Genomic DNA, 12028 nt, shown 5'->3' on the forward strand with positions numbered 1-12028 from the left:
CGTCACTCTTCAAACTGTTACTTGTGGGGGTGGAGGAACACAGCCATAGGGAAATATCTGCTTGTTAGTGACACTGGGTTTTAAGCCTTGATTCTATCCCTTCATAAGTGAATCGTCTTGAGGAGCTGAGTTTGCTGTGAGAGCCCTCCTCACGCACCTCGATTCCTCCCCCAAAGGCTGCTACAGGAGAGATAATGTCACAGCAGCAGGGCCAAGTCCTAAGAAAATCAGCACCTGCTGCAGGAGCTGGTGTTTACAATAGTCCCATCTACTGTGAAACCTGGGCTAACAAGGAAGAGGATGGTGCTAACATGGTCAGCCCTGGGGGCCTCACTCTCTGTTATGAGAACTGCATTTGAGTATGGGCCCTGGAGACAGACCTCAGTTCAAGTCCCAGCTCCACCATGTACTAGCTGCAAGGCCCTGGGCAGCTCTTAGTCGTCACCTACGGAAAAATAAAACATGGGACAGGGAAGGAAGAACAGGGCCTCTGTGAAAGGATCTGGTTCCAGCACACAGTGACCTGCTCCAAAATAACTCGGTTTTTTGGGTCTGGCGCCGTGGCTTACGCCTGTAATCCCAGCACTTTGGGAGGCCGAGGCAGGCGGATCCGAGGTCAGGAGATCGAGACCATCCTGGCTAACACGGTGAAACCCCGTCTCTACCAAAAAATACAAAAAATTAGCCAGGCGTGGTGGCGGGCGCCTGTAGTCCCGGCTACTCCGGAAGCTGAGGCAGGAGAATGGCACGAACCCGGGAGGCGGAGCTTGCAGTGAGCCGAGATGGCACCACTGCACCCCAGCCTGGGCAACAGAGCGAGACTCCGTCTCAAAAAAAAAAGAAAAAGAAAAAACAAACAACTTGGTTTTTCTCATTCGGGCAACACTAATAAAACTATTTCCTCAATAAAGTTGTGCACGTCACGCTGAAGAGCCATGTGGGGTGTGTGGAAGATTGCAAGGGTGGAAAGAATGCTCCTGGTGATGGGCTGGGAACAACGGGCAACAGCCCAGGGGACCCCCAGAGGGTTAACGGGTCCAGGTGCTGACAGCTGTCACCATCAAGTGCCACGGGGATTGGGAAAATACTTCTTTTCTAGGTGCCTCAGTAAGAATTTGACTCTGTCAAAACCTAAATTTGTAGTGCCTTACACTAGAAATCACATTAAATCCGCATAACTCTTTTAATAAATAAAGCATATTCATGGCTTAGATTTTAAATCACATTTACAGATGAGGGAAAACTTCTAGGCCTAAACAGGTAACAGTAAAGCGACTACTGCTGGAAGGAGTGGTGTGCCACATGCGCCTTAAGCCTCAAGAGTGGGGACTGCAGGGCCAAACACCAAATACATCACCTTTAGGCCAGACGGAGAGTGGAGACCCAGGAAGCCCATGCAACCACCATCTGCCCCCTCCCCTAGTGCTGCAGAACCGGCTGGACACTGTCACACTTTCAGAAGAACTGGAGGTGGGTCCTGATCATATTACATGAAGCTTTCCACCATTGTGAACAATTAGGCAAGGCATGAGTGACAGAGGGGCATCGCTGATAAATACAGAGCAATACTGGGGCAGTGAAGAGGAAGCTACAGAGACATTCGTGTTTCTTCAAATATCAGAAGCTTCCACATCACAGCAGGAGAGCTGACGACGAGCTCCACCTCCTGAAGGCTTAGTCCAAAAACTTCCTGTTGGCATTTGCACCAAACAAGGCTCCCCGGACTTCTGGCATCATCTGTGGAGAGAAAGTGTAATAAATACGCAATGTCAGCTGAAGAAGTTGTAGAGCGCTGCACATCTTTTTTTTTTTTTTTTTTTTGAGACGGAGTCTCGCTCTGTCGCCCAGGCTGGAGTGCAGTGGCGCATCTCCGCTCATTGCAAGCTCACGCCATTCTCCTGCCTCAGCCTCCCAAGTAGATGGGACTACAGGTGCTTGCCACCATGCCTGGCTAATTTTTTTGTATTTTTAGTAGAGACGGGGTTTCACCATGTTAGCCGGGATGGTCTCGATCTCCTGACCTCGTGATCCACCCGCCTCGGCCTCCCACAGTGCTGGGATTACAGGCGTGAGCCACCAAGCCTGGCCAGAGTGCTGCACATCTTAACCACAGGTGGAAAGCCATGAACCTCTATGTGGCTGGGAAGGACTCACAAAGCCACGCACATCAAAGCCACCCTCTCCTTCCCTGAAGCAAGTAACACATTCCTTGGTGAGAAACTTAACTCATCCCAAATCTGGGGTTCAGACTGCTTACAAAAGGGACACATTAAAAAAAAACAAAACAAAAAAAAACCTAAAGTCACTACTATCTCAGACTTAACTCATCATAATCATCTCACCACAATATGCTGGGTCACCTACACTCTTTCTTCAACAAACATTTACTGAGTGCCTACTATGGCCACAGCAGCTGCAAAGAACACTTCCAATGCCAGCTTAGGCTGGAAGCACTTGCTACAGCCACTGATGAATCCTTAGGAGAACTTAACCCTGGACTTCCAAGGCTCGGCTGTCCAACAGGGCAGTCCTAGCTACAGATGGTTATTGTGTGCTGAGAAACTGAATTTTTCGGTTTAATTAAATATCCGTAAGTGAGTAGTGGCTATGATACTGGATGGGACAGTGGCTACTAGGAAACAATGTTCTGAGGTTTAAGTTACCAGAATATGAAAAAATCAAGGTGAAAGTGCTTTAGTTATAAGACAAGTATCTGCATAAACAGTAAACTGCATATCTAGGTCAGGGAATAACTAGGTTGGCAGCCACAGCAATAGACTCCCACTAGAAGTCTAGAAGATGCCCAGCATTTTAGAACAAATGGAATTTTCCTGGCTTGTTTCCTAGAGTTCCTGTGTACAAATCTGGAAACATCTGAAAAGCCAGCAGCTTTATGATAATTCCTTTAAATAAGTATTTGTGTCTGAGCACGGTGGCTCACACCTGTAATCCCAGCACTTTGGGAGGCCAAGGCGGGTGGATCACCTGAGGTCAGGAATTTGATAACAGCCTGGCCAACATGGTGAAACCCCGTCTCTACTAAAAATACAAAATTAGCCGGGTGTGGTGGCAGGTGCCTGTAATCCCAGCTACTCGGGAGGCTGAAGCAGGAGAATCGCTTGAACCTGGGAGGTGGAAGTTGCAGTGAGCCAAGACTGCACTCCAGCCTGCGCAAAAAAGAGTGAAACTCCATCTCAAAAAAGCAAAACAAAACAAAAAAACACAAGTATTTGCTTTAGTTCCCATCACTCCTGTTAGAGAAAGAACTTGTCAGCACCTTACATGTAGTAAAATGTACATATTCGAATCCTAGGTCAACAAAACACTTGTTCTGACCCCAAATTCACCCTCATGTAAATGTTACCACCTCAGCAAATGCTACTACATGCCCAATTCTCATTCTTTTTGAGAAAATGTCCAAAACTGGAAAGACAGCAACAAATCCCAAATACCAGTGAATGGACACGTGTTCTCTGTCCCACTTCAAAGTAACAGCAGACCAACTACCAAGAAGTACCCCCACACTCACCTGCTGGGCTATGAGATCCAGCCGGCTTTCCAGGGTGTTGGAAACCTTTATTTTACGATCTCCATTATAGATCTCAACTCCACCAGCTCTGCAAAAAAAAAAGCACAGGAAATAATCATTTTCAAAGACTTGAGAAAGATACATGGTACCCTTTACTCCCGCAGAGGAATGCCCTTGTCTTGGTGTGTAGACTGCGCAACCTAAGCAACAGGCTTGAAAGGAACTGAAAAAGCTTCTGAAGATGTAACGCACAGTTGGTTTCAGGAAACCCCAGTCCCCGCCTAGATGTCCATTATATGAAACAGCGTAGTATTTGCATACAACCATCACACATCCTCCCCTATATTGCAAATCATGTCTACAGCACTTAAAATAGCTAATACGATGTAAATGGTTGTTATACCGTAGTGTTTAGGGAGTGAAAAGAAAAAGTTGGTTGAATTCACAGGTGTGGACCCCAAAGATACAGAGAACTGACTGTATTCATCTCAATAACTGTCATTTACCAAGTGACACTATGTGTCAATTTGTTTTGTTTTTTTTGAGACTCGCTCTGTTGCCCAGGCAGGAGTGCAATGGTGCGATCTTGGCTCACTGCAACCTCTGCCTCCCGAGTTCAAGCAATTCTCCTGCGTCAGCCTCCCCAGTAGCTGGGATTACAGGCACCTGCCATCACGCCTGGCTAATTTTTGTATTGTTGTAGAGACGGGGTTTCACCATGTTGGCCAGGCTGGTCTTGAACTCCTGACCTCAGGTGATCCGCCCACCTCTGCCTCCACAAGTGTTGGGATTACAGGAGTGAGTCACCGCGCCCAGCCTGTGTCAATTTGATTTTATGTTACAAAACCTGTTTTAATTATCACAGCCAGCCCTCCCCAACAAAATGAAAAAGAGAGGATTTCATCTCAGTTTGCAAATCACTCAATCCTCATCTGAATGTTTTCTTAAGCCCAATCCTGCTCATTACTGATGAGGCCCTATCACGACTGCATGTGTGTCTGATAAAAGATGCCACTGCTGGCCGGGCGTGGTAGCTCACCCCTGTAATCCCAGCACTTTGGGAGGCCGAGGTGCTCCCAAACTCAAGTTTGAGGCCAGCCTGGCCAACATGGCGAAAGCCTGTCTCCACTAAAAATACAAAAATTAGCTGGGCATGGTGGGGCGTGCCTGTAGTCCCAGCTACTTGAGAGACTGAGGCAGGAGAATTGCTTGAACCCAGGAGGCAGAGGTTGCAGCAAGCCGAGATCACACCACTGCACTCCAGCTTGGGTGACAGAAAGAGACCCTTACTCAAAATACAACAACAACAACAAAAAAAGAGGCTGGGTGCGGTGGCTCACGCCTGTAATCCCAGCTCTTTGAGAGGCCGAGGTGGGCAGATCACGACATCAGGAGATTGAGACAATCCTGGCTAACAAGGTGAAACCCCGTCTCTACTAAAAATACAAAAAAAATTAGCGAGGCATGGTGGCGGGTGCCTGTAGTCCCAGCTAATCGGGAGGCTAAGGCAGGAGAATGGTGTGAACCTGGGAGGTGGAGCTTGCAGTGAGCCGAGGTCGTGCCACTGCACTCCAGCCTGGGTGAGAGTGAGACTCTGTCTCAAAAAATAAATAAATAAATAAATAAGATAAAAAATGCTATGAGGTTAGTGCTAATACGTCAATTTACAGATAAGGGAATCAGGGCTCACTACTATGGTTTGAGTCTGTTCCCTCAGAAACTAATGGTGAAATTTGATTCTCAATGTGGCAGTGTTGGGAGGTGGAGCATAGTAGGAGGTGTTCAGGGCTCAAGGGCAGATCCCGAGGCAATGAACTGTGGCGAGGGCCTGGATTCTAGCTCCGGCAGGACTCGACTGTGAGCAGAGGGTGGGCTGGTATGATAGGGAGTCTGGTTCCCTAGGCTCTCTGGCCTCCTCTCTCGCCATGTGGTCTCTATGCACACACCCACTCCCCTTCCACCTTCTGCCATGAGTGGAAGCAGCCTGAGGCCCTCACCAGATGCAGCTGTCCAATCTTGAACTTTCCAGCCATGAGAATCATGAACCAAATAAACCTCTTTTCTCCATGAATTACCCAGCCTCGGGTATTCTGTTATAGCAACACTAAATGGACGACACCACTCAATGAAACTGAATAAACGAGTCCAAGATTACCCAGGTAGTAAGTGGCAGAATCAGGAATCTAACCCAACTCTGACAGCATATCTTATGAGTTTATATACTTTTTCCATTTACAGAGCATTTTCACATGTACTATCTCATCTTTTTTTCTTCACTGCATGAAACAAAAAAGCAAAAAGCAATGATCCTATTTTACATATGATGAATTCAGTCTCCAGGTCCCATAGTAGCAAAAGGCCAAGATAGGACTCAAATCTAGGTCTTACATTCCTAAGTGTGATAATCAGCTAACTTCAAAATGTGTCCAAGGCACCAGGCATGGTGGCTCACGCCTGTAATCCCAGCACTTTGGGAGGCCGAGCGGGCAGATCACGAGGTCAGGAGATCGAGACCATCCTGGCTAACACAGTGAAACCCCATCTCTACTAAAAATACAAAAAAATTAGCTGGGCGTGGTGGCAGGCGCCTGTAGTCCCAGCTACTCAGGAGGCTAAGGCAGGAAAATCGCTTGAACCTGGGAGGCAGAGGTTGCAGTGAGCCAAGATCATGCCACTGTACTCCAGCCTGGGTGACAGAGTGAGACTGCCTGTCTTAAAAAAAAAAAAAAAGTGTCCAAGGTACTTTCTTCAATGTTAGTCAGTAGTGTGGCTAGGTGGCCTCAGACAGGCCAGTGAAATCGAGAAAATGACACTGGCTCTCCCCTTGTCAGGAGTTTCTACTGCCTACCCCAGCTACACAAAGCTTGTTAGGAACACTGATCCCAGAAATGTTCTGTCATTTCCTCACAGTCATAAAAATACCACTCATACTTGCAATTCTATCTCTAAGGAACCTAACTACCAGGCATACACAATTCTTGTTTTGATAACTATTACTTAGAAGAAGGGAGTATCTACCTCAGCATCCAATACAGAGATCTGGTCCTAGCTTTCATTCTGGGGGCCACCTCCCCGCAGAAGGAAAGCAGTGACCATAAACCAGACTTTTTTTTTTCTGAGATGCAGTCTTGCTCTGTCGCCATACTGGAGTCCAGTGAGTGGCGTGTTCTTGGCTCGCTACAACCTCCACCTCCTGGATTCAAGCAATTCTCCTGCCTCAGCCTCCTGGGTAGCTGGGACTACAGGCGTGCGCCACCACGCTCAGCTAATTTTTGTATTTTTAGTAGAGACAGGACTGGACTATGAGCAGAGGGTGGACTGGTATGATAGGGAGTCTAGCTCCCTAGGCCATGTTGGTAAGGATGGTCTCGATCTCTTGACCTTGTGATCCACCTGCCTCAGCCTCCCAAAGTGTTGGGATTACAGGCGTGAGCCACCGCACCTGGCCAAACTAGACTTTTAGAGTATATTTAGCCAGCCAACAAGGGAGAGCAAGAGAGCACTGCGAGAACAACAGGAACGGCTGCAAGTAGAATACACCACAGCTCTAGCCTTGTGTCTAAGAGTGCGTTTAAATGGTGAAAATACCATTTAAAAAAGGCCTGGTATAAAGGCCACTCTCCCAGGGAGAGAAGGTAGCTGTTAGCAGCAGGAATACTCCTTACATGTCTTCAGGCAGGTAGGACTCCTGGTCAATTTGGACATCAACATCGTTTTTGGTGGCAATTTTGTACATAGGAATTGCCTTCTGCACTGCAGCCTGGAAGTATAGAACACAATGAGAGGTGTCACTAGGAACTATGAAGCAAGTATCCAAAAACTCAACAGACTATACAAGCAAGGATACCTCCATTTATCCCAGGTAAAAGAACAGAGGCACCGCTGGTGGGAATGTAAAACGGCACGGCCACTGAGGAGAAATGACAGTCTGCACACAGGAGGGAAGAGATGCGAATGGTTTCTGTCAAGATTTAACAGGGCTTGGCAGGTGATTAAACACACCAGAGGCAGTTATTACATTTGAAACATGGATCAGCAGGAGGAAGATACATTATTCCCCCAGCTGAGAGTGTTAGAAGCTGGGGGTAGGTAAGGAGAGAAGGGAGGGAAGAGAAGTTTGGCTGCTGGCATGAGCTTCAACTGGCAGTTGCAGATGAGGGGGAGACAGCAGGCACCAGAAACAGCAGTGCCATGCCATACCCATAAGGATGGTTCTTATCAAAGTAACAGTATAATAGGTCCTCAAAAAATGAAGTACACAATTACCACATGATCCAGCAATTCTACTTCTGGGTATACAGACAAACGGATAGAAAGCAGGACAGATATCCGTATACCCATGTTTGCAGCAGCATTATTCACAACAGCCAAAAGGTGGGAGTAACCCAAGTGTCCAGTGACAGATGAACGGATAAACACAACGTGGGGCATCCATACCGTGGAATATTATTCAGCCTTACAAAGGAAGGCCATTCTGACCCACCCTACAGGGACCTTGAAGGCATTATGCTAAGTGAAATGAAACAGTCACAAAAAGACAAATACTGAATGTTTCCACTTATATGAGGTGAATGGGGGAGAAGAGAAGAGAAGAGAAATAATGGAGAGTTAGTGTTTAATGAGCACAAAGTTTCAGTACGGGAAAATGGAAAAGTTCTGAAGATGGATGGTGGTGATGGCTGCACAATATTGTAAATGTACTTAATGGCACAATGTATGGTTAAAATGGTATGTGTATTTTACCACCATTAAAAAAAAAAAAGAAAGGCAGGGCACGGTGGCTCGCACCTGTAATCCCAACACTTTGGGAGGCTGAGACAGGCAGGTCACAAGGTCAGGAGTTTGAGACCAGCCTGGCCAACACGGTGAAACCCTGTCTCTACTAAAGATACAAAAAATTAGCCAGGCATGGTGGTGCATGCCTGTAATCCCAGCTACTTGGGAGGCTGAGGCAGGAGAATTGCTTGAACCCGGGGGGGCAGAGGTTGCAGTGAGCCGAGATCGCACCATTGCACTCCAGCCTGGGAAATGAGAGCGAAACTCCATCTCAAAAAAAAAAAAAAAAAGGAAACTAGATCCCTGGAATAAAAGATAGAAGTGGGTTTTTACGGCCAGGCGCGGTGGCTCATGCCTGTAATCCCAGCACTTTGGGAGGACGAGGCGGGTGGATCACCTGAGGTCAGGAGTTCGAGACCAGCCTGGCCAACATGGTGAAACCCTCCCTCTACTAAAAATACAAAAATTAGTCAGGCATGGTGGCACACGCTTGTAATTCCAGCTAGTCTACTCGGGAGGCTGAGGCAGGAGAATCGCTTGAACCCGGCAGGCAGAGGTTACAGGTGAGTGGAGATCCCGCCATTGCACTCCATCCTGGACAACAGAGTGAGACTCCACCAAAAAAAAAAGAAAAGGAAGGAAGGAAGGAAAAGAAAGAGAGAGGGGAAGGAAGAAAGGGAGGGGGGAGGGAGGGAGGGAAAAAATTATCCTAAGTTCTTTACCTTTACCAGAGGGAAATCTTGTTTCCTGCAACGAACAATCATTCGGGGCTCCAGCAACTGGTACAAACCCTGGAAGAAATAGTAGATACAGTCAGTAGAAAATGCAAACTATAAAATAAAGAAACAGGTCGGGCACAGTGGCTCAGGTCTGTAATCCTAACACTTTGGAAGGCCAAGGCGGGCGGATTGCCTGAGCTCAGAAGTTCGAGACCAGCCTAGGCAACAAGGCAAAACCCCATCTCTACTAAAAATACAAAAAATTAGCCTGGAATGATGGTATGTGCCTATAATCCCAGATTACTCAGGAGGCTGAGGCAAGAGAATGGCTTGAACCCAGGAGACGGAGGTTGAAGTAAACAGAGATGATGTCAATGCACTCCTGCCTGGCTGACAGAGTGAGACTCTGTCTCCAAAAATAAAAATAAAATAAAATAAAGCAACAGTAAAATAAGATGCTTCTACAGTTCTTTCATTTAGGTTGGAAAAATTTCCCCTGGTAAGTTCCACTAACAGATGGCATATATCACATAAGACCATGGAAAGATCTATCTATCCCAAACCAGATAAATGAACCCAAACCTTTGGTGATAGAAACAAAATTCATGCAGACATCTTATATTACATCAACCAAGCTGAGGACAAATATTATTGTAATTAACATAAGTAAAATAAGGATTCACAGCTCAGCAGTAAACAATTAAAACATATACAGTGTTTGGTCTGAATCCTAAATCTAAAGCAAGTATTTTAGTGGCAAAATCAAATTAAGGGAATTTAAAGCTAGCCATTGCAAGCAAATTTGACCCTTAAGTCATGTAAGACTACATAATTGAGTAGTAGGCCTGGAAGTCTTATCCAAGCAGACAGATTTACTATTTTCCTATGCAGCACACATTTTAGATATGGTCAAGAGTGAAAGTAAAAAAGCTAAAAGAAAAAAAAAGGGTGAAAGGAAAAAAACTAGAGAAATGAGAAAGCAGGAAAAAATAGAGCTGGTCTCTAATAGGCATTCTAAATTTTCTCAGAACTGTGGCTATCAACAGTAGATCTGGTCTATGAGGGTACCTGGAGAACCAGTCCATCCAGCAGCACTTGGTACCTGGTTGTATCTTTTACCACCTTGCTGAGTCTCTGTTTTGCTTCATTTAGTAGGTCCTACAAAGATTAGAAAAGATAAAAGTTATCTACACATCTGGGCAGTCGGCTCAGAACCCACTGTGAGGCTGATCCTGGCTCATGCCCAGCTGCCTCACATTTTATTGCTGGATTTTCATTCAACACACATTCCCTGAGATCTGAGATAAAGCAGGGGCTGTGCTGGGTACAAGGAAGCATGTAACACCGTCTCTGCTCCCAGGGAGTCCACGGCCTAGCAGAGAATAGCTCAGGTAACCATCAGTTCAGAAACCGACACAAGTGACTGACATGGAAAGATGCGCGCGATGTAACTTTGAAAAGCAAGCTATTAAACGGTTATACAAGATTACCCCATTTTTTTTAAGGAAAAAAACCAGATGTCTGGCTATGGATCGAAATACGAACAGTCTACCTTTGGAAGGCCAGATTACGAATAATTTCAATTTTGTTTGTTTGTTTTTGAGATGGAGTTTCACTCTTCTAACCCAGGCTGGAGTGCAATGGTGCAATCTCGGCTCACTGCAACCTCCACCCATGGGTTCAAGCAATTCTCCTGCCTCAGCCTCCTGAGTAGATGAGACTACAGGCGCCCACCACCACGCCCAGCTAATTCTTGTATTTTTAGTAGAGACAAGGTTTCACCATGTTGGCCAGGCTCGTCTCTAACTCCTGACCTCAGGTGATCCGCCTGCCTTGGCCTCCCAAAGTGCTGGGATTACAGGCATGAGCCACCGCCCTCAGCCCTCTTTGTTTGTTTTTGAGACAGGGTCTTGCTCTGTTGCCCAGGCTGCAGTGCAGTGATACAATCATGGCTCTCTACAGCCTTGACCATCCAGGCTCAAGTGATCTTCCCGCTTCAACCTCCTCAATATCTGGGACCACAGGCGTGTACCACTATACCCAGCTCATATTATTTTATTTTTTATAGAGATGGAGTCTTGCTATATTACCCAGGCTGCTCTTGAACTCCTGGCCTCAAGCAATCTTCCCACCTCGATCTCCCAAAGTGCTGGGATTACAGGAGTGTGCCAACATATCCAGCCTCAATTTTCTTGGTTAGTTTGTATTTTCTAATCTGTCTCCAATAAACACTGGCTTCTATAATAAAAATAACTAAAATAGGAATACTATCAGGAAACAAATCTCATATGGCTGAGAACACACTGGATATCATTTGTTAAGTAATAAGGCTTAAGGGCTAAAAGAAAACTCAAGGCTTTTTTTTTTCTTTGAGACAGTCTCGCTCTGTTGCCCAGGCTGGAGTGCAGTGGCACGATCTCAGCTCACTGTAACCTCTGCCTCCCGGGTTCAAGCAATTCTTCTGCCTCAGCCTCCCAAGTGGCTGGGACTACAGGCGCACGCCACCACACCCAGTTAATTTTTTTGTATTTTTAGTAGAGATGGGGTTGCACCGTGTTAGCCAGGATGGTCTCAATCTCCTAACCTCGTGATCCGCCTGCCTCAGCCTCCCAAAGTGCTGGGATTACAGGCGTGAGCCACCACGCCTGGCCATTTGACTTTCTTAAGCTCCAAATGCAAAGATTCCAAATACCAAGTGATAAATATAGTTTCTGTCTTTAGAAACTTTTAACACTTAAACATTATTTATTTATTCTAAGATTTTGGTTTATAATACATACTCTGTCCCTAAAACAAACAAGATTTAATGCCATTCATTGGTCAATGAATCATACTTTCACTCATTTATAATTGTAAATAAAGTTAAACAGAGCACACCACTTGTTAAATGGAGAAAAAGTAATCATACTGTATGATAGTTATTTTAAAGAAACATTATTATTATTATTTTGAAGACGGAGTCTCGCTCTGTTGCCCAGGCTGGAGTGCAGTGGCCTGATCTTAA

General features: G+C 45.9%; 1 protein-coding gene across 3 annotated transcripts in view; it reads right to left on the reverse strand.

Annotated features, from left to right (window-relative positions):
* The window catches only part of ATP6V1E1 (ATPase H+ transporting V1 subunit E1), a 36687-nt gene continuing 25795 nt past the window's right edge, over positions 1137-12028 (reverse strand). For 2 of the 3 annotated variants that reach the window (NM_001039366.1, NM_001696.4), the window contains 5 exons: positions 10093-10182; positions 9028-9096; positions 7195-7289; positions 3530-3617; positions 1137-1737 (listed from right to left, as the gene is read on the reverse strand). In NM_001039366.1, the coding sequence (NP_001034455.1) occupies positions 1675-1737; positions 3530-3617; positions 7195-7289; positions 9028-9096; positions 10093-10182 (405 nt within the window). In that variant the 3' untranslated portion in view covers positions 1137-1674. The remainder of the gene's footprint in view (positions 1738-3529; positions 3618-7194; positions 7290-9027; positions 9097-10092; positions 10183-12028) is intronic. The other variant, NM_001039367.1, reaches the window with a different exon arrangement.

Source organism: Homo sapiens, chromosome 22 (assembly GCF_000001405.40).
Source record: "Homo sapiens chromosome 22, GRCh38.p14 Primary Assembly".
Classification (NCBI taxonomy): domain Eukaryota; kingdom Metazoa; phylum Chordata; class Mammalia; order Primates; family Hominidae; genus Homo; species Homo sapiens.